This window comes from Homo sapiens, chromosome 2 (genome assembly GCF_000001405.40).
Source record: "Homo sapiens chromosome 2, GRCh38.p14 Primary Assembly".
Lineage (NCBI taxonomy): Eukaryota > Metazoa > Chordata > Mammalia > Primates > Hominidae > Homo > Homo sapiens.
The window spans coordinates 239,902,579-239,926,403 of NC_000002.12; the positions used below are offsets into that span (position 1 = coordinate 239,902,579).

At 48.6% G+C, this 23,825-nt stretch overlaps 1 protein-coding gene across 1 annotated transcript in view, besides 1 other annotated feature; it reads right to left on the minus strand.

Moving 5' to 3' along the window:
* The window catches only part of NDUFA10 (NADH:ubiquinone oxidoreductase subunit A10), a 132,901-nt gene that overhangs the window by 10,137 nt on the left and 98,939 nt on the right, over positions 1 to 23,825 (minus strand). Inside the window, exons 8-9 of the transcript NR_136158.2 lie at positions 10,223 to 10,412; positions 9,671 to 9,856 (exon numbers count right to left, since the gene is read on the minus strand). The gene's annotated coding sequence lies outside the window, so the exon portion shown is untranslated. The remainder of the gene's footprint in view (positions 1 to 9,670; positions 9,857 to 10,222; positions 10,413 to 23,825) is intronic.
* Positions 958 to 1,865: an enhancer, noted in NCBI's record as "H3K4me1 hESC enhancer chr2:240842953-240843860 (GRCh37/hg19 assembly coordinates)". NCBI's record gives its function as "activates a minimal SCP1, AML or CMV promoter by ChIP-STARR-seq in primed H9 embryonic stem cells {active_cell/tissue: H9 hESC(primed)}" and the evidence as "EXISTENCE:reporter gene assay evidence [ECO:0000049][PMID:30033119]".

The following is a 23,825-nucleotide window of genomic DNA, read 5'->3' on the forward strand; positions in this document are numbered from 1 at the left end:
TGGAACTGAACCCGCAATACCCCAAAGGTATGTCTGTACACACTTGTACACTCTGTGTCCACAGGACTGGGCTTGTGCTCTAAAATACATTTCTCATCCTGAGTGGGAACGGCCTCGTTCTGTGCATGCCTGGTGTGCGCTGTTTGTGGGACCTTAGGCAAAGGTAATTTGGTGACACCGTTTAGTGGCAGGGTGGTTCCTGAGGCAAACAAAGCACCCAGACCTGCAGTCCAGACCCAAAGCGGCCCTGAGAGCCACTCTTTGGAAACAGCCAGGATTCCTGCGGAAGGGGGCTGGGCTCCTGCTCCCCCGAATGCAGATTTGACTTGATTTTAATTAAAACGAAGAGACAGCAGGAGCCCAGCCAATATTTGGGCTGCAGTTGGCCATTGCACTCAATCTATACAACACCCTTTCAGGTCAGACACGTGCCTGTTTCACAGACGTGGAAAGGCAGGCCCGGAACTCACATGGGCAATGAGTGGCTGTGGTGGAAATCCAGAGCACGTTCTTGTCTGACCCAGCTCACCTCACCTCTGCTTGGTGAGGTCACCCTGAGGCTCTGAGGCTTCCCAGGGTCACAGCTGGACATGACACAGGGCAGCTGGTGAGACGTGCGCTCCTTCCCCACTGAGGAACATTTCTCTAGAAAACCAGACTTCTCATGAGTGCTTTGGACCCTAAAACACCTTTCAGGAATGTGGCCACAGAACGTCAGCACGGGGGGCTTGTATATTACGTTGAGCTCAGGGCGAGGAGGCTCCTTCTGCATTTTACCTGGAGGTGACCAGGAAGGGCCTTGGCCACCTCAGCCCAGCCAACCTGCAGTCGCGTTGGACAGAATGATCCCACAGTCCCTGCCCTCCCTGGGCTGCTCTGCATGTCCCAGGACAGGGCAGCTCCTGATGCTTCTGGAGTGAGGCTCTGGGTGAAAGTCTGTTTTTCTATAAGGCCAGACATAAGGCGTGAGCATGCCTGACAAATAAGGCTGGACGCTGCCCTGTTGAAAAGGGGAAAGGAGATCATCTGGAAGCATTTTATAAGGAAAAGAATGTCAATTATACCTATTATATGTATATTCAGAAAATCTTTGCAGTTTGGAAAATGTGTCCCGGCTCTGCCATTTCTTCCCATTTCCTGCAATTTCCTTCCCCATTGTCAAGATATTCTAAAAGCCAGTTTCTTCCCTTCTCACAGATGGGTCCTTTTTGTTGGCAGCTGCCGGTTTCTAACCGGGCCCTGCTGGAACAGAATCACTTTGGGCTGAGAGTGGGGTAGAGAAGGTCCCACAGCTCTTCCATGCAGGGGAGAACTTTGTGTCATTGAGATCAGGTGGGGCAGGGGCCGCCTGGCCTCAGGGCTGCAGAGAACCAGGGGCAGGCAATGGTAACAGTGGGGCAGCACAGAGTCCAGACGCCCTGGATGATGCAGGCGTCTGCCCATCCCAGGGAGCCCAGGCTGTCCTGAGCGCATGGGGTCACTCCAGGAACACAGAACTACAGGAGGCCAGGCAAAGGGGGCAAAAGGAGGAGGGGTGGGGGCCTATCTCAGAGAAATTCAGGCTTTAGAGAAAGTGGTGGTACACCCCAGAGATGGCCAGAACCTTCCAGTGTGCCCCGGGGGACACTGGCCCTGAAACTTCGCCCCGTACCCAACCCTAAAGGTGCCTCTTCCTTTCTTCTTCTTCTTTTTTCTTTTTAGTTATTTATTATTTATTTATTCGTTATACATATTTTTTAGACGTAGTCTCTCTCTGTCACCCAGGTTGGAGTATAGTGGTGTGATTCTGGCTCACTGCAACCTCTGCCTCCTGGGTTCAAGCGATTATCCTGCCTCAGCCTCCTGAGTAGCTGGGATTACAGGCACACGCCATGTCCAGCTAATATTTGTATTTTTAGTAGAGTTGGGGTTTCGCCATGTTGGCCAGGCTGGTCTCGAACTCCTGACCTCAAGCGATCTGCCTGTGTCAGCCTCCCAAAGTGCTGGGATTACAGCTGTCAGCCACCATGCCCAGCCCCTGCTTTCTTCTTGTTGAGAAGGCGCCCTAGAGACTGCAGGCCCTGCCCTAGGCACGGTGCCCTCAGACCTGAGAGCCAGGGCCCCACCCCAGCCTGGTGCATCAGTGTCCTGGGGCCACCATAACACCTGGCCACACATCAGGCGGGGTGCTTACAACAGCAGACACACTATCTTAGCTCTGAGGCTGAAGTCTGAAGTCAGGGTGTCCACACAGCTGTCTTCTCCTGGAGACTTCTAGGGGAGGGTCCCTCCTGCCTCGTCCAGTGTCTGGTGACTCCAGGCTTCCTTGGCTTGTGGTGGAATGGCTCCGATCCCGCCTCTGCATTCACACCGGCGTCTCACTGTGTCTGTGCCTTCTGCTCTTCCGCCTCTTATATAGACACCTGTCATTGGGAAGCCCTAATCCAGGAGGGTCTCATCTCAAAACCTTTAACTGAGCTACAAAGACCCTTTTTCCAAATAAGTTCCCATTCACAAGCTCCAGAGGTTAGGGTATCTTTGGAAACTGCTGTTCTACCCTCTCTGCTGGGTATAAACTCACTGGATCCTTCCCAGCCCAGGGGGTTGAACGCAATGTGTGCCCGGGCCTGTTGGGGTCCTGTGTACCCCATGCAGTGTGAAGACCCCCTCTAACTGCACAGTATGGGAAGGGGGCTTCCTTGGCCACCACATGGAAGGACAACCCTTTGAGTCTCACAGAGGACAGAGGAGGGGCAGTGCTTCCAGTGGGTGTTCTTGGTCCTCCCGGCTCAAAGGGCGTCTAGGTTCCAGGGATTTCCAGGCACCACATGTGCTCCTGGGCTCCTCAGCAGCCTCGAAGATTTGCACCGGGACTCTCGGCTACCGAGGTGGAGCAGGGCATGCGTATGTGTGTGTGGTGGCGGGGTATGTGCGTCTACACGCGTGTGAGGCCAACAGCACCTGCTGTCGGTTCTGCACTGAGCAATGCTGATTGACATGTTCTTCACGGGATGCTGCCGCGTCGGGGGGTTTACGCAGCAAAGCCTGAGGTCAGTCGGATTTCCTTGCTCTTCCCCTTGGTTCGCGTGGTCCCATCTGTTAACAGACCTGGATCCTGGACACAAGCCCCATCAGAGGGAGAGCTTCCGAGGAAAGGTAGGCCCAGGACAGAGGACAGAAGGCATTTGCAGATCTGCCAAGGGATGAGGCTAATTATCTCTGAAGAAGAAGAAGCGGGGAGAGGAGGGGAGGGGAAGGGAGGGGAGCAGACTGGGAGGGGAGGGGAGGGGAGGGGAGGGGAGGGGAGCAGCCTGGGAGGGGACAGGAGGGGAGGAAGCAGTCCAAGTGGGAGAGGAGGTCTCCTGCCAAGTGGAGGCCGGCCTCCCCTATGCTGCAAAAAGAGATCGCAGCCCCCATCCTGTCCCATGCGCGGGAGGCCTGGCCTCCTGTGGTGGGATCAGAATTCCCCTAAGGAATTCCTGGAGCCCTGAGGGGTGATACCTCCAAGGTGCTCAGGGGACCTTGAAGCAGCCCTGGCCACAGATGTGTGCTGAGCTCATGACCTTCGGGGGCTCTGGGCGGGCCCTGCTCTGTGCCTAGATATTTCACACTCCAGCACACCTTTTAACAAGAACCCCCGGCCCTCCAGGTGGTTGGAAATATTACCCGGAAGGAAGTCAGTATATAATTAAAAGTCATTTAATCATCTACTGTTCAAGCTCTTAGCAAAACTGCGGCTTCAGTTGTGCCTTGCTGACTGTCTAGGCACTGACCACGCCCTGTTGATAGACGCCGAGGCCATTTTCTGGGATACTCAGGGCACCTTCACCTCAGCACCCCAGCTGACCCTTGAAATCAGAGCAACAAGGGCTCCTGAAGCACCCCAGGCCTTGAGAACACCAGACGGGGGCCCCCACGCCAATTCATGGAGTCCCCGCACTTATAGTGCCTCCCATTGCTAAGGCAGGCAGGACAACATGAAGAGGACCTGTTGCTAAAACACAGAGGACAGCCCAAGATTTAAAGAAAATGGCAGTGCACCCCATGGATGGCAAGAGCCAACCAGCGTGCCCCCGGGAATGCTGGTCCAGACGCTTTGCCCTGCACCCAACCCTAAAGGTGCCTCCTCCTTTCTTCTTGATGAAAAGGTGTGCTGCCTCTTCAAGGAGTACTACAAACCACCGCTCAATGAAATAAAAGAGGACACAAACAAATGGAAGAATATTCCATGCTCATGGACAGGAAGAATCAATATTGTGAAAATGGCCATACTGCACAAGGTAATTTATAGATTCAATGCCATCCCCACCAAGCTACCAATGACTTTCTTCACAAAATTGGAAAAAACTACTTTAAAGTTCTTATGGAACCAAAAAAGAGCCCACATTGCCAAGTCAATCCTAAGCCAAAAGAACAAAGCTGGAGGCATCACACTACCTGACTTCAAACTATACTACAAGGCTACAGTAATCAAAACAGCATGGTGCTGGTGCCAAAACAGAGATATAGACCAATGGAACAGATTAGAGCCCTCAGAAACAATACCACACATCTACAACCATCCGATCTGTGACAAACCTGACAAAAACAAGAAATGGGGAAAGGATTCCCTATTTAATAAATGGTGCTGGGAAAACTGGCTAGCCATATGTAGAAAGCTGAAACTGGATCTCTTCCTTACACCTTATACAAAAATTAATTCAAGATGGATTAAAGACTTAAATGTTAGACCTAAAACCGAAGAAAACCTAGACAATATCATTCAGGCCATAGGCATGGGCAAGGACTTCATGACTAAAACACCAAAAGCAATGGCAACAAAAGCCAAAATTGACAAATGGGATCTAATTAAACTAAAGAGCTTCTGTACAGCAAAAGAAACTACCATCAGAGTGAACAGGCAACCTACAAAATGGGAGAAAGTTTTTATGATCTACCCATCTAACAAAGGGCTAATATCCAGAATCTACAAAGAACTTAAACAAATTTACAAGAAAAAATCAAACAACCCCATCAAAAAGTGGGCGAAGGATATAAACAGACACTTCTCAAAAGAAGACATTTATGCAGCCAACAGACACGTGAAAAATGCTCATCATCACTGGCCATCAGAGAAATGCAAATCAAAACCACAATGAGATACCATCTCACACCAGTTAGAATGGTGATCATTAAAAAGTCAGGAAACAACAGGTGCTGGAGAGGATGTGGAGAAATAGGAACACTTTTACACTGTTGGTGGGAGTGTAAACTAGTTCAACCATTGTGGAAGACAGTGTGGCAATTCCTCAAGGATCTAGAACTAGAAATACCATTTGACCCAGCCATCCCATTACTGGGCATATACCCAAAGGAATATAAATCGTGCTGCTATAAAGACACATGCACATGTATGTTTATTGCGGCACTATTCACAATAGCAAAGACTTGGAACCAACCCAGATGTCCATCAATGATAGACTGGATTAAGAAAATGTGGTACATATACACCATGGAATACTATGCAGCCACAAAAAAGGATGAGTTCATGTCCTTTGTAGGGACATGGATGAAGCTAGAAACCATCATTCTGAGCAAACTATCGCAAGGACAGAAAACCAAACACTGCATGTTCTCACTCATAGGTGGGAATTGAACAATGAGAACACTTGGACACAGGGTGGGGAACATCACACACCGGGGCCTGTTGTGGGGTGGGGGGAGAGGGGAGGGATAGCATTAGGAGATAGACCTAATGTAAATGACAAATTAACAGGTGCAGCACACCAGCATGGCACATGTATACATACGTAACAAACCTGCACATTGTGCACATGTACCCTAGAACGTAAAGCATAATTAAAAAAACAAAAGAAAAAGAAAAGATGTCCTGGAGACTGCAGGCCCTGCCCCTGGGCACGGTGCTCCCAGACTTGAGAGTCAGGGCCCCACCACAGCCTGACAGTGCCGCCCACTGCTAAGGCAGCTCCCTTCCTGTCCCATGGGGATTGAGGGCTCCCTGACTTGCTTTGTGACTTTCACAAAGAAATAGCAGGCAGGCCTTTAATTCAGCAAACCTTAAGTAAGATGGCAGAATGTCCACCAATGCGCTGTTAGGAAAGGACAAGAAAATGGGATAAACTTACTGTTAACAGAGATCACTCCCTTATTCGCAATACATGAGGTACACTGAAAAGAAAGTGAGCGTGAGAGGTCTCAGTTAGAGAAGGGGCCAGGCCCTCAGTGCCCTCCACAGCCCACCTTCCCATGGGGTTGCACACCACGACAGCCATCGTGGCACCTGCACCTACCTCCCTGTTGGAAACCTGGAGTGACAAGGGTCAGTCCCTGCCCCAGGAGGAGCCCCCAAGCACCAAGTGCCCAGAGTCAGTGGATTGGTGCCCCAGCTCCCGCATCCCCTCTGGGCAGCTAACTCGAAGGTGTGGTCTGAGCCGGCTCCCAAGCTCTCCACTGGCTGACTCTGACTTAATGACATGCCCTCTGTTGGCTGGTCTCTTCCTCGTGTCACCCCACTGCCTCCTCCAGCGCCTCCCAAAGAAATAACAGTTCTTGCATTAGAATCCTTGGCTTACAGGCTGCTTCTGAGAAAGTCCAAAGCAAAACAGATGGACCCTAGAGGAATCAGACAAAACCAAAGTGGGGTCTTAATATTCACGTGACAGAGATGCAGAAAACTGAAACTGGACCCCTTCCTTACACCCTATACAAAAATGAACTCCAGAAGGATTAAAGACTTAAATGTAAAACCAAAAACTATTTTTAAAAAATCCCTAGGCCAGGGACGGCAGCTCACGCCTGTAATCTCAGCACTTTGGGAGGCCGAGGCAGGCAGATCACGAGGTCAGGAGTTCGAGACCAGTCTGGCCAACATAGTGAAACCCCGTCTCTACTAAACATACAAAAAAGTTAGCCAGGCGTGGTGGCATGTGCCTGTAATCCCAGCTACGCAGGAGGCTGAGGCAGGGGAATTGCTTGAACCCAGGAGGCAGAGGTTGGAGTGAGCCGAGATCGCACCACTGCACTCCAGCCTGGGCGAAAGAGCAAGACTCCATCTCAAAAACAAAAGCAAAACAAAACAAAAAAACCCTAGAAGAAAATCTAGGCAATATTATTCAGGACATAGGCATGGGCAAAGATTTCATGATAAAAAAATGCCAAAAGCAATTGCAACAAAAGCAAAAATTGACAAATGGAATCTAAGTAAACTAAAGAGCTTCTGCACAGCAAAAGAAACTATCTATCATCAGAGTGAACAGGCAACCTACAGAGTGGGAGAAAAATTCTGCAATCTACCCATCCGACAAAGATCTAATATCGAGTCTACAAGCAACTTAAACAAATATGCAAGAAGAAAGGCAGACAAAAGAAGACAAACATGCAGCCAGCAAACATATGAAAAAAAAAAAAAAGCTCAACATCACTGGTCATTAGAGAAATGCAAATCAAAACCACAATGAGATATCATCTCATGCCAGTCAGAATGACTATTAGTAAAAAGTCAAAAGACACAGAGGCTGGCAAGGTTGCAGAGTAAAAGGAATGCTTTGACACTGTTGGTGGGAATGTAAATTAGTTCAACCATTGTGGAAGACAGTGTGGCGATTCCTCAAAGATCCAGAAGCAGAAATACCATTTGACCCAGCAATCCTGTTACTGCATATATACTCAAAGGATTATAAATCATTCTATTATAAAGACACATGCACGTGTATGTTCACTGCAGCACTATTCACAATAGCAAAAACATGGAATCAACCTAAATGCCCATCAATGATAGACTGGGTAAAGAAAATGTGGCACATATACACCATGGAATACTATGCAGCCATAAAAAGAAATGAGCTCATGTCCTTTGCAGGGACATGGGTGGAGCTGGAAGCCATCATCCTCAGTCAAACTAATGCAGGAACAGAAAACCAAACACCACAGGTTCTGACTTGTAAGTGGGAGCTGAATGATGAGAACACGGACACATCGGGGGAACAACACACACTGGGGCCTGCTGGGGGGTGTTGAGGAAGGGAGAGGATCAGGAAGAGTAGCTATGGATGCTGGGCTTAGTACCTGGGTGATGGGATGATGTGTGCAGCAAACCACCATGACACACGTTTACCTGTGCAACAAACCCACACGCCCCGCACCTGTACCCCCGAACTCAAAATGAAAGTGGAAGAAAAAAATAATAATCATGTGACCGAGATGACCATTGTCACTAGCTTGAGAGACAAATGTTGATATCAGCCTTTTCCAAAAGCAATCACTTAAGCCACCTTGCCCACCATGGCAGGAAGTCCAGTATTTCCTTCTGGAGGCCCCGGCTCCTCCTCGTGAGCTGTCCAACAGCTCCGTTGGAGGCAGAGGCCGCTCCGTCCTGAGCAGAGAGTCCTATTTCCAAGTGCCCGGCAGAGAGGAGGCTGCAGCCCAGCCACCCCACCACAGTCACACTGCGTGTTTCCCCAGAGCACCTCCAGTGGTCTAGACCCACCACACACACCCTAGTGGGTCTGCTGGGCAGAGGGCACTCAGCCGTAGTCACACCACGCTGGGGCCTCGTTCCTGCCAGAAACTCAAGTCCCCTTGGAATGGGTTCTATGTGTCCTCCAGTTCTCCAAGCAACACCACTTACTACTGTCCCCGCCTCCCTGGAGGGAGTTGTGTGTGTAATCCTGGCTCACACCCTGACCTGGGAGAAGGGGCTCAGGACTATCCCAGCCCCTAGGCTGCTGCAGGAAATTTGCGTCCCCCAGGGCGGCAGGCGACTCTTTCTTGCTCTTTTCCAGCAGGCTCCCCTTCCTCTGTGTAGAATGAGGAGCCCTCTCTCCCTGCCACCAGCTCTGCAAACCCTGGGGGACTGGGGCATGCACATTCATCTAACAAGAGAGGTTTTGCTTAAACCAAGAAAGGAGAAGTTGCCTGAGAGGTACATCCTCCAGCCTTGCTCAACATACCCGGAAAAGGGCCACACCCTGAGCCTTCCACTGGTTACTTCCTTCACAGTTTCAGTACGGCAGAGCTGCTGGCATGATTCAAACCTTTCCAAGGTTAGACAAAGCATAAAAGCACCCAAAAACACTTACAAAGCCAGCCCAGCCCAGACACCAAAACATGAGAGAGTGTGTGTGCGTGTGTGTGTGTGTGTGTCCTACTCCCTGTTGCTCCTTCTCTCCCCTTCCCTCTCTTCCTTCCCCCAGCCCATCCCCCAGTCTCTCTCTTGTGCACACACACACCACACACCACCCAGAAATCCCAGTCCACGCCCTCGGTGACCAGCAGTTTCAGGCCAGATTCCCCAGAAACAGACTGAGACAAGAATCACAGCTTCAAGGAAGTGGGGGAGGCACCGACTCCAGTGGGACCCCACTGGCAGCTCTGAATCTGGAACAGCCCTGGGGGGTTTCCTGGGATTGTGTACAAGGGCAGCTGCTGGGACCATGCGTCTAGCAGGCACCAGCTGCATGTTGCCCCAGAGAGGAGGCGCAGCTTTGCTCACTCGCTGGAGGTACACCCCTCGTGCCCACAGAACTTTCTAAAGGACTCAGGCATGAACCATCCAAAGCCAATACTCCTGTAGCTGGAACATTCAGGCCTCAGTCCTGAAGGAGGGTCTGGGCGGCACACAGAGCACCCAGCACTTTGCACCCCCCTCTGGTCCTGCTGGGCTCCCCTGGCTCCATAGAATAAGGCTGCCTACCTGGGAACATCTCCTCCAGGATTCTGGCTAGGCTCCCATCCTGGGCAGAACGCTTGGGAGAGGAAGGGTGGGAAGCGGATTCGTGGGGCCGAGCTGCAGCTGGCCTCCAGGCTGTAGCTGATAGTCATCCTCCTGCCGCCCCTGCCAACGCTGGGTCAGCTCCTACTTGGTGGTGCTGGCCAGACCCTGAGGGCAGAAAAGACACACTTGTACCCAGAACACATGCTGGAGCCAGGCGAGAGTAGCTGCTCACCCTTCTGGGGTCTTTCCTGGGCAGAATGCCCTTGATGCAATTAACTTGCCACTGAGTGGCTGGCTAGCCTTTCCCAGGGATGGTGCCACGTGGGGCTCAGCATTGGTGTCTGTTGCTCGTAGGCTGGACATCTGGCAGTAGGTGGATCAGCCTCCATGAGTTGGGGCCCACAATGCTGGGGCCACACATACCCCTATCCCTGCCACCACCACCTCTCCGCCCAGGAGCCCATTGTGTCACACTGAGGACACAGGTGACAGAGGCTGGTGGTGGTCAACTGGCCAGGTCATCCTGTCTACCTGGGTGTCAATGTCCATCCATAGATCTTCACATTCAGGTCACTCCATCGGGTCCACGTGCTGCCTCAACTCCAGACCTCCTTGTCCCTGATCTTCCGATTCCCGAGTCTTTCCAAGCCTTGGTCCAGCCAGCCAAGCTGTTCCCAGCTGCCCGAGTCAACATGCGTATTCTCCTCCAGCTCCTTTCCTTCTGTGGAAAGCAAGTGGCAGGTGACCTGCCCAAAGCTCTGGCAAGGGGAGGATTTCCCCCACCTCTGCCACTCGGGGCCACTGCTGAGTGGGGCTGTAGGATAACCACCAGCCCACGTTTGGCTTGCATCCAATCATTAAGCTGACCAATCCCTGAACCATGCCCAGCCTTCTTCCTCCTCTGCCAGCTGGTTGAAAGAGACTGCCCTCTGTGGGGCTGTACCTTGAGCCAAGACTGCCCTCCGTGGGGAGTGACCCAGGTGGGAGTCGTAGCTGACTGGGGGTGAGGCCACTCATGCTTAGCTTGCTCCCTTCCTCCGAGGACGCTGGCCTAGGCGCACCACTTCCATCTTGTGCGGGCTCGTTGCTCGGCCCACGCAACCTGAGGACATGACGGGTCCTACAGGACTCTGCCACGATGGGCGGGCTGGCCTTGTGGTCACGTGGTGAACCTTGGCCAAGAGCTTCATCTCTAAGGGGCTCAGCACACATGCTGGGTGGGTGGCGTGGCCTTGCTCTGCACCTCAGACGCCTCCACGTGATTCTCCCCCTGGGGCTGTCTGCTACCACTGCAGACATCTCAATACTGCGGGGAGCTCTGGGCCACACGGCCCAAGGGGCAGGGTCCTTTCCTGCATGTATGCGTCAGGCTCACGTCTGTGCAGGCCTTCTGCCTCCTGTTGCTGTAACACTACAGGCTGAACCGGAAAATTGTAGTATTCAACCATGTTTGATCTGTCAACACTGCAGAGTCCCTGAGCTCAACCGGATGCAGTTTAGGATCCCACCCCATCTGGCAGGCTGCATGTTCCAGCACCTGAAGCAAAGGCCAGTGTCTGTGCACATGTGTGCAGATGCCAGAAAGGGGCATCACCTCGGCGTGCAGGAGGACGTGGCCAAGAGCGTCCTGTTGTCATCCACATGTGTGGCCTCTTCAGTTTCTCCCACTCTCTGGTCAGTCTGTTCAGCAGCTCCCCTTTCCAGCAGGTGGAACAAGGGTGGGCAGGAACTGAGGCGGACGTGGACTTAGCACAGGACAGCACAAAACTCTGGGCTTGGCAAGATCTGAGAAACCTTTACTTCCCCAGACCAGCAGGAGAAACGGAGTTCACAGGCAACACACACAGACACACACAAATATACAGATACACACACAGAGATACACAGAGATACACACACACACAGAACACACACATACACAGACACACACAAATATAGACACACACAGAGACAGAGATACACAAACATACACACACACAGAACACACACATATACATACACAGACACACACAAATATAGACACACAGAGATACTCAAACACACACACAGAACACATACATATACAGACACACACAAATATACAGACACAAAGAGATACACATACACACACAAAACACACACATACATACACAGACACACACAAATATACAGACACACACAGAGACACACAGAGATACACACACAAACATACACACACAGACACACACAAATATAGACACACACAGAGATACACAAACATACACACAGAACACACACATACATACACAGACACACAAATATACAGACACAGAGATACACACACACACAGAGAACACATACATACATAGACACACACAAATATACAGAGATACACATACACACACAGAACACACACATACATACACAGACACACACAAATATACAGACACAGAGATACACACACACACAGAGAACACATACATAGACACACACAAATATACAGAGATACACATACACACACAGAACACACACATACATACACAGACACACAAATATACAGACACACAGATACACATACACACACAGAACACACACATACATACACACACACAAATATACAGACACACACAGAGAGACATACAGAGATACTCACACAAACATACACACACATACATACTCAGACACACACAAATATACAGATACAGAGAGAGACACAGAGATATATAAACATACACACAGAACACACACACAGACACACACAAATATATAGACACACACAGAGAGACACACAGAGATACACATACACACACAGAACACACACATACACAGACACACACAAATATACAGACACACACAGAGACAGAGATACACAAACATACACACACACAGAACACACACATACACAGACACACACAAATATACAGACACACAGAGATACACAAACATACACACACAGAACACACACGTATACAGACACACAAATACACAGACACAGAGAGACACAGATACACAAACATACACACACAACACACACACATACAGACACACACAAATATACAGACACAGACAGAGAGACAGAGATAAACATACACACACACACAGAGAACGAAGACATACTCAGACACACACAAATATACAGACACACACAGAGACAGAGATACACATACATACACACAGAACACACACATACACAGACACAAATATACAGACACACACACAGAGAGACAGAGATACACATACATACACACACACAGAACACACACACAGACACACACAAATATACAGACACACACAGACAGATACACAAACATACACAGAGAACACACACATACACAGACACAAATATACAGACACACACACAGAGATACACATACACACACACACACATACACAGACACACACAAATATACAGACACACAGAGACACACAGAGATGCACACACAAACATATACACACACAGAACACACACATACATACACAGACATACACAAATATACAGAGACACACAGAGATACACATACACACACAGAACACACAAATATATACTCAGACACATAGAAATATATAAATACAGACAGAGAGACACACAGAGATACACAAACACACACACAGAACACACACATACACAGGCACACACAAATATACAGACACACACAGAGAGACACACAGAGATACACATACACACACAGCACACACACATACACAGACAGACACAGAGAGACACACAGAGATACATGGACATACACACACACACACACCCATACACAGATACACACAAATATACAGATACATAGAGAGACACACAGAGATACTCACACAAACATACACACACACATACATACTCAGACACAAAGATACAGATACACACAGAGAGACACAGAGAACACACACATACATAGACACACACAAATATACAGACACACACAGAGAGACACACAGAGATACTCACACAAACATACACACAGAACACACACATACATACACACACAAATATACAGATACACACAGACAGACACACAGAGATACACACACACACAGAACACACACACATACACAGATACAAATATACAGACACACACAGACACAGATACACAAACATACACACATGCACAGAACACACACAGACACACATACACAGACATGCAGATACACACACACATTGACACACATACAAACACACACAGTAGCGCACACACACAGACACAGACACAGCCAGACACACACAGAGACACAGAGATGCACCACACTGAATCCTGTAGGAAGAGCCCAAATGCCCGTCACAGGCCAAGCTCAGTTCCCTGACATCTCCAGATCCAGCAAAGACCACATCCTCATCTGCATATGCAGCTAACAAAATACCAACGCTGCACAAGTGATAAAGAGCAAACATTTATTTCCTCCCCATTCCAGAGGCTGAGAAGTCCAGGGTCCAGGCACCAGCAGGTTTGGTGTCTGCGAGGGCCGCTCTCTGCTCCCAGGACGGCACCTTGTGCTGCCACCTCTGGGGTGGAAGGTGAGGGACAGGTGCGGAACAGGCGCTGTGTGAGCCTCCTTCACGAGAGCCTTGATTCCCTCAGGAGGAGCAGCCCTCACGGCCTCACCAGCTCTTGGTGGCCCCACCTCTTTGCACCATCCCTTTGGCCATTATGTCTCAACCCCTGGGGTCAGACTCAGACTTGATGCCCAAGATCTGACCAGGAGCCATGGGGTGCTGGCACCGTCCCAGGCTCTGGCATTACAGGGCAGACATGAAACACTGTGGACATAACACTTGCTCCAGTGTGGTCACACCCAGAGAGACACACACACCTGTCACAGTCGCCGGCCAGAGTGAGGCCCTGAGCACATCCAGGCAGGAATGCCTGGGGGTGGGGTCTCAGGTTAGGCCAGGGAGGGGCTGACACTGAGCACCAAGGAAGGAAAGGGTCCAGGAAGCCAGAGTGAGGTGGGAAATTAAATAAATAATAAAAATAAAATTAAAAAGAGAAAGAAATAGGCTTTCCTGGATTAGGCTGACTCATCCCAAAGGCAGTAGCAGGCAAGGCCCACACCCATGAAAAGTCTTGATAAACACTGTCTTAAGAAGCTAGGACAAAAAGGAATGTGCTCTGAAGACTCTCCCAGCACTCCCTCAACATAGGGAGAATAAAAACAAATTTTCCTGTCTCTTATGGTATGAGTTTATAGATTCCTGTTCTCTGTAACTAGTAACTTCAAGCATTCTGTTTTATCTAAGCAGTGGAGTGAAGATCATAAACTATCTGGGCAGGCCTGAGATCCAGCCACCTGGACACCACAGTGAAGGTCATGGAATAAGCCATGCTAGGCACGAGAGAAAAACCTAGATAACGGACATCTGGGTTGCATAGCAACAGTCATGTGTAATCCTGAGTTATGAACCTGTCACAATTTGACTAATTGTTTTGCCTCTGTATCCTTGCTTCCACACCACTGTAACTGTAAGCCTGCTTCAAGCTAGCCCACCCCCTTTTTGAAGTGTACATAAAAGTCATGTGCTGTCTTTGTTCCAGGCCCAGTTTTCCAGATGTTAAGTCCGCTGGCTCTGAATGCACTCAGTAAAGATCCTCCTGCTTTACCCCAAGGTCTCTCTCATCCTCCTGATTCCCACAACAAGAGCCCCTCTGGGAAGATGGCAGCTATGGCAGGTACCAGTGACATGTGAGCCCTGAGAAGGTTTCAGCAGAGGAGCAGCACCCCCAGCCCTGGGCTGCAGTGCAGAATGGGAGCCACAGAGCCAGTCATGGTGTGGCGGCAGCCCAGCAGCCCTGGACTCCAGGTGGGGAGAGGAGGCCTGGGCTGTCCAGGTGGGCCTGCTCCTGGTCCTCAGGGGAAGGGCCTCTGTCTCTGCTGCCTGGGCCTGAATTATGGGGTCTCTGCCCTCCTTGGACCTGCTCTGGGGCCTGAGGGACCCTCTGCATCAAGGAGGGTGCCACAGATGGACCATGCATGCTCTGGCACATGGCCAGCACCTGCCATGTTGCCAGGAAAACCCACCATTGGGTATTTTCCACTGAGGTCCCACAGCCCTGGGCAGCAACAGGCCAGGGAGGCCCTCACCAAGGAGGACTGGACACTGGACATACATGCGCCCCATCGCCCTTGCTCTCAGGAAGCCCACCCTTGCAGGAGCCTTGAACCCGAGGCCTCCTCAGGTGCCCCCGCACGCCAGGCCTGACACTCAGTACCAGTGGAGACTTCCTCTTGAGCCCCTCCACCCCTGTGCTAACCCAATCCTGTCTCCCAAGGACAGACCCTGACACAGAGGCCAGGGAAAACCTGACTTGGCAAAATCACTTTCTCACCCATGAACACAATCTCATACCTTAGTTCCCTCCCCTCCTGCAGTGGCAGCCTCATCCACAGACCCTAAGAAAGCCCCCAGCTCTGGAGAACAGCTCTCCACCATTCACAAGTTCTCTCTCCTCCACTTTATTCCCAGGTGTGGGTAGGGGTGGAGTTGGTGCCTCATCCTCACAGAACAAAGATGGAAATCCAGCATTGGGACCACGCATGGTGACTGGTTACCCACGTCAGCTCCCACCCGTGTCCTCGCTCTCCACGCTGAGGGCTTGCCAAGGACACAGCCAGTTCAGGAAGGGGTGGCCCGTGTGGCAGGGTCTCCTCCAGGTCTGGGTCCAGCTGCCTCTGATGGAGTTCACCCTCCTCCTGCTCGTCCAGTGTCCATCTTCCCATCCCCACTCACAGCAGGTGGGAGGCCAATGGCAGGGACACAGTAACCGGCTGCTTCCACCCCATGAAGGGCAGACTCCTGACAAGATCTGAAGACAGCAGGGATGGGAGGTGGCACTTGTCTCTCCAGGTCTAAGCACCATCTTGGGAGGCAGCAGAGGGGCCGAGGTGGGACAGACTGACACCCACTGCTGAGGAGGAAGCCAGACCAGGACTCCAGTCCCTGCTCCAGCCACCATGTGGACCTTCGGTGGCACAGAAGGCATGCAGCTCTGGAGCCACTGACAACAGCAGCCCTGCCCCTCTTCGGGCTGTTTTCTCTTGATGGTTTGTTTCTCCTGGTTTGTCTCATGCCCCCTTTGCACTGGGGCCTCCCACCCCTGCTTGAAATCACCCCTCCCTCCTCACTCTCTGCCCCTCCCTGTCCTTCATGGCTCCTTGAATTACTCGACTAGCCTACTTCTGTCTCCTTCTAGAATGCTGGCTCCTCGAGGGCAGGGGCATCCTCACGGCTTTGTTCTCTGCTGCACTTACAGCTCCCAGGATGATTCCTAACACGCAGTGGGCATGCGGAACGGGGTAAGTTGAAGGAATAACCAAACGCAGCCTTAAGGCTCATACAGAAACAGATTCACCAAAACACCTGCAGTGCCCGCCACTGGGTGTGGGGTTATGGGTGATTTTAGCATTCTTCCTACAGTAATCCAAGTAATTCCTGTGAAACTGAGGCCCCATCCTAAGAGGATCACATTCTCAGAAAACCTGACACACAAACAAAACCATCCCTGAGAATACCTCGTTTTCCAAAGGGCTTCTCCACCTGCAGCCTCTCTCCACACTTCACCCTTCCCTGAACACATCTTCCATGAACTCTGAGTTCTCCTGCCATTTGGAGAGAATGCGGGGGAAGACACGGCCCCTACGGAAGGAGGGGTGGGGCCGCCCAGGTCTGCCATAGGGAGGCAAGGAGGCTGGTGCCCCTGCCTACGCCAGTCCTTCCCCATCAGGATAGCCACGGTCCAAGGCCTGAAATTAAGGTGCAGTACTGTGTGTGCCCCAGCACCTGTGAGATTGGGGGCCCCCTCACCCTGCTCCCAGGGTGCTTCCCCCCCATTCATATGTTGAAGCCCTGGTCCCAGCATAATGGGATTTGGAGGTGGGGCCTTTGGGAGGTGGTCAGGGTTCAGTGGGGTCACAGGGTGGGGCCCCATGATGGGACTGGGACAGCAGAATGCTGCTTCCTCTCTCTCCAACCCCGTGTGAGGGTTCAGCAGGAAGGTGGGGAGAGGGCCCTCCCCAGGAACAGAATACCTCAGCACCCTGACCTGGGACTGCCATCCTGCAGAGCTGAGAATGGAATGTCCTTTGAGACATCCCATCAGCAGCAGTTTGTACAGCAGCCCAGACTGACACGTGGATAAGGTCCCCTTGCCATGGGGACTGGGCACAGTGCCTGCTCAGCCCCGTCCTGGGGCAGATCCTGGAGGCTGAGGCCCCAGGGACAGGAGCATCCGAGGGGGAGAAAATCAAAAGGCTTCAGCAGCCAGACAGCCAGTTTGGGGCTGGAGCCGCAGACTATTTTTAAAGTGTTTTCTCCTAAGCTAAAAATTGAGAACGGGAGTCCTTAAATAGCATCCCCACTTGCCAAAAGGAGCTGTGTCTCCGTCTCCTTAACTTCCCTAGAGCCCAACATCCAACTGCTCCACACAGTTTCTGGAAGGAAGCAACTCTGAAGGTAAAGGAAGGGACGTGGCCTTTAAGGGAGGGGCTCCCAGGCCTTTTGCGTGACGGCGATGGAGGCGCTGTGGTTTTGTTTCTTGCTTTTTCTGCAGAATCAGCCCCAGCCACACCTGCTATTGAAAGAAAGCCTGGCAGATGCAGATGAACACAGTTCCTAGAAGGCGGAGGGGTGGGGTCGTCTGAGGTGCCTGGTCATTGGCTGCCCCCTTTAATCTTTGGGCAACCCCTCTGAGTCTCCCCAGGTGGGCAGGTTTCTCCTGTCTCTCCTCAGGTATCCTGGGGAAGGCTGAATGCCTAGAGATGATTGTCCAGGAAGTAGCATCTTCCACACAGCCACAGGGTTCTGTGGACAGAGCAACCAAGAGCCAGAGCCCCTGTCCCACAGGAGTGTGTGATCGTTTGTCAATCAACCAATATTATTTGCAAATCAATATGGTGGCTCGAACCTAAGGAAACTTTAGGGCAGGTCACAACCTGCAGGAACCGGGGCATGAGCCGTGTAGGTAGGCGAGTGAGCTGCACCTCATTGGGCCCAACCCTGCTGTGTCCAGAGCTGCTTCCTTCTGGTAGGTTTGTGGTCTCACTGACTTCAAGAACAAAGCCACGGACCTTTGCCATGAGTGTTATAGCTCTTAAAGGTGGCACTGACCCAAAGAGTGGAGAAGGAAAGAACAAAGCTTCTACAGCGTGGAAAGGAACCCAAGCAGGTTGCAGCTACTGGTTTGGGTGGTCAGCTTTTATTCCCTTATTTGTCCCTGCCCATGTTCCATTTCTGTCCTATCAGAGTGCCCTTTTTTCAATCTTCCCCGTGATTGGTTACTTTTAGGATCCCTGCTGATTGGTCCATTTTACAGAGCAATGATTGGTCCATTTTACAGAGCGCTGATTGATCCATTTTACAAACCTCTTGCTAGCTACAGGGCACTGATTGGTGTGTTTTTACAGAGCACTGATTGGTGCATTTTACAAACCTCTTGCTACTACAGAGCACTGATTGGCGCATTTTACAATCCCCTTGTAAGGCCAGGCCGAGGAGACCCGGGATGAGGCCGGGTCAGACATTAGTGAGGTTCTATGGATGGAGCTCCAGTTCCCTCTGGGTGAGGCCTCACGGAACCAGGCTCAGCCAGATCTGGGGGCAGGGTGGGGACGGGACACTGCTGGCTCTTTGCTCAGGTCCATCCTCCTGACCCTCTTCCCTCCCTCCTTCCCTCTCTCCTTCCTTTTCTCCTTTCCTCCATTTTTCTGTCCTTCCTTCCTTCTTTCCTTTCCTCCTCCCCTCCCTCCCTCCTTTCCTCCTTCTTTCCTTCCCTCCCTCCTTCCTTCTTTCCTTCCTTCCCTTCTTCCTTCTTTCCTTCCTTCCCTTCTTCCCTCCCTCCCTTCCTTCTTTCCTTCCTTCCTTGCTTGTTTCCTTCCTTCCTCCCTTCCTCCCTTCCTTCCATTTTCCCCTCAATTATAAGCAGTTGCCCCTAAATGAGCTTTTCCTACCTTGCTGCTAAATGTCCTGAGTGTCCCTTTGTCTTTATACCCACTTCTGCTCTGGAGTGGCCAGTTATCTTTGGGTGACTTGGATTCTGTGCTGAAAGGCAGCTAGGCACCTCAGCTGGCCAACCCCACAGTCTGCCTTTCTGCTGACTATGGCTGGGCAGCCTGGGAGCCCTCAATGCCACCACCCAGTCTCAGAGGGGCTCAAGGCAGGCAGTGAGCTGCAGGCCAAGGCATCAGGGACCCCAGGACAGAGAGGAGCACTCACAGACCATGCCCTACCTCCACCTTCCATGACAGGTACACAGAGACAGGTCTTTCTCCCACACATGGATGTCTTTCTCGGATAGTGACCATGTGTTCCTCTAGACAGTACAATGACTTCTCAGGGGATAGAGGCGGTGTCACCTGGGAAAAATCAGAGGCTGGGCATTGCCATTACCACTGTCGTCCGTCAGGTTGACTTTTCTACGCCACAATGCCTTGGTCCTTGGGCTCATCCCAGCCCCTGTACCAACATGATATGACAGCTATGATTCCAGGGACACCTGGTTTAAAATTGATGAGGCAGACTGTGAGGGAGAGTGAAGTGGGTTTCCACCCCAGGTGTCATCCTGGAGCTGTAAGCACCCTAAGAATCCCCGGCCCCATCACAGGTGTGCAGTGTGCCAGCAGGTAAGATGGTAGGGTACGGATACCACACCTTTGCGAAGTAGAAAGGACAATGATTACCATGAGGCTGCAAACCAAGGAGCAACTGGCATTGCCAGGGCTCAAGAACATCAAAGTCTGGTAAATTAGAAGTAAAGGATGGAGGCAGATGTTGGCTTAAAAGAAGAGAAGTATGAGTAGCTATATATGTTATCAGATAAAGTAGGTGTCAGAGCAAAGAAAATTACCAGGGACAAAAGAGGCCATTACATACATCATGATGAAAGGGTCAATATGCAAGAAGACACAGCAATCCAAAATACATAGCCACTGAGCAACACAGCTTCATAATACATAACACAAAAACTGAAAGTAGAAATAGACAAATCCACAAATAAACTTGTAGACTTCAATACCCTTCTCTCAGCAATACAACTGCTAGACACAAAATCAGCAAAGATGCATAAAAACTGAGCACTATCAAACAAAAGTATCTAATATTCTAGACTGCTGCACTTCAAACTGCATAATATACATTCTATACCTATGAAAAATTCCCCAAATAGACCATATCCTGGTTCATAAAAAAAACTGAAACCATACAAAATATGTTCTCTGACCATAAGGAAACCAAAGAAGAAATCAATAACAAAAAGATAACAGGAGTATCTCAAAGCACTTGAAAATTAAACAACAGATTTATAAATAATACATGGGTTCAAGAAATATCCTAGAAGAAAAGTAAATAATACAGAAAAAATAGAAATAAAAACACACACATCAAAATTTGTGGGGTGCGTATTAAATGCTTACATTAGAAAAGAGGAAGAGTCCCAAATCAATAATTTAAGTGCCAAGATAATCTGAATTCCTACACAAATAAGCTAGGAAAAAGGGCACAATAAACACAGAGCAAGAAAAAAAAGAAAAAGAAAATTAAAAAGCAGAAATCAATGAAATTGAAAACAGAAAAATAAGGGAAATCAAGAAAATAAAAACTTGTTTCCATGAAAATATCAATAAAATTAATAAACCTCTAGCAAGACAGACAAAGGAAAAAGAGAGAAGACACAAATTACCAATGCTGGAAATGAAACAGGTGATATTACTACAGACCCTGCAGCCATTAAAAGGAGCAAATATTACAAACATTACTGCACACATAAATTTCACAACTTAGATGACATGGATCAATTACTTGAAAACTACAGCTCATCCAATATAAAATGCATTTAATCTTTAATTTAAAAGCTTCTTTAAAAGTCTCCATGCCCAGGTGGTATCAGTGGAGAATTCTACCAAACATTCAAAGAGTAATTAGTGCCAATTATACACAGTCTCTTCCAGAAAATAAAAGAGAAAAAAGCATATCCTTTTTCATTTTATGCGACTGGTATTACCTTAATAAAAACCTGAAAAAGGAAGCACAAAAATGAAAAATATCAATATCCTTCATGAACTTAGATACAAACATCCCCAGCAAAACACTAGCAAATTCAATCAAACATCACATTAAAAAAAGAATCATACCCCACAATCAAGTGGGTTTTATTGCAGGAATGCAAAGTAGGGTTCATTGAAAATAATATAATACACCATCAACAGGTAAACAGGTAAAGAAGAAAAACTCACATTATCATATCAATTGATGATGCAGAAAATGTACTTGACAAAAGTCAACCCACTGATTTATGATGTTAAAAAAAAACCTCTCGGCAAACAGGTAGAGAGAGGAACTTCCTCAACTCGATAAAGAACATTTACCAAAAAAAAGAAATCACAGCTAACATAACACTTAATGATAAAAGACTCGGATCCTGAATATCATTAAGAAGTTGGAGATGTCTACTATTACCACTCCTATTCAATGTAGGACCAAAAATCCTAACTAGAGTAGTAAGTCAAGAAAGGAAAACAAATGGCATAGAGATTGGAAAAAAATAAAGAAAAACTCTTCTTATTTGCAGATGACATGATGGTATACATAGAAATTATCTCCCCTCAATTATTTTAAAATTCTTAGAACTAATGCGTGTTCATCAAGGCTGCAGGATACAAGAACAACACACGTAAAAATTATTGTATTTCTGTATAATAGCAATGAGCCCATAGAAACTGAAATTAAAAATACAATGCAGTGTATTTACAATAACTCAAAAAATTACCTATGTATAAATAAACATGCCATGTGCAGGATCTGTATGTTGAAAACTACAAAATGTTAATGAGATAAGTAAAATAAGATCTAAATAGATGGAGAGAAATACCACATTCATGAATTGGAAAACTCAATTCTCCCTAAATTCATCTATAGTCTTAGTGTAGTTCTTATTAAAATCCTAGCAGAAATCTGTGCAGATGTGAATAAGCATATCTTATATTTTATATGGAAAGGAAAATAAACTAGACTAGCTTAAACAAATTTTGAAAAAGAAGAAAAATGTGGGAGGAATCACTCTACCTGATTTTAATTTTTACTCCATCATTACGGTAATCAAGACTATAGAGAAACAGAGAGAAAAGAGAACAGAATAAAGAACCTAGAAACAGATCCATACAAGTACTTCCAATTGATGTTTGACAAAGGTGCAAAAGCAATTCAATGGGGAAGGGATAGTCTTTCTACAAATAAATGGTGCTGAAGTGAGTGAACATCCATTGGCAAAAGAAATGAACTGCGACCTAAGTCTCCCTTTATGTACAAAAATTAACTCACAATGGACCACAGACTTAAATGTAAAGTGTAAAACTACTAAACTTGCAGAAAACAACAGAGAAGGTCATCTTTGAGATCTAGGGTTAGGTGAAGAATTCTTAAGACTTGACTCGTAAAGTATTATCAATTAAAAAATATACATAAAATTGGACCTCACGCAAATTTAAGTTTTTGCTCTGTGAAAAGCCCTAGTGACAGAATGAAAAGACAAGCTACAAGGTGGGAGATCACCTGGCAGAGGACAAAATCTGAAATACATAAAGAAGGTCTCAAATCTCAACAATGATCAGCTCAGTCCAGTTAGAAAATGTGCAAAAGACATGAACAGATATTTCACAAAGAGGATATACAGATTAGCACATGAAAACATGTTAACATCACCAGTCACTAGAGAAATGAAGACCACAATGAAATATCACTATACATCTTTCAGAGCAACTAAAATTAAAAATAGAGACCACACCAAAGCCTGACGAGGATGCTGAGAGATTGTCCTTCACACATCATTGGTGGGAATGTAAGGTGGTACCCCACTCTGGGAAACATTTTGGAGTCTCTGATAAAAAATTAAACATACACTTACCCTACGATCCAGCAATTACACTTCTGGGCATTTACACCAGAGGAATGAAACTTTCTGTCTACACAAAAACTTGTATATCAATGTTCATAGCGGCTTTATTCATAATTGTCAAAATCTGGAAACGATGTCAATTTCCTTCAATGGGTGAATGGTTAAACAAACTGTGGTACACTGGTAATGTGAGCTCAGCAATAAACAGAAAAAACTAGCATACAATGCTTCAGTCAACAACAGACCAAATATGCTACAGTGGTCCCATGAGACTATAATGAAGCTGAAGAAATCCTATC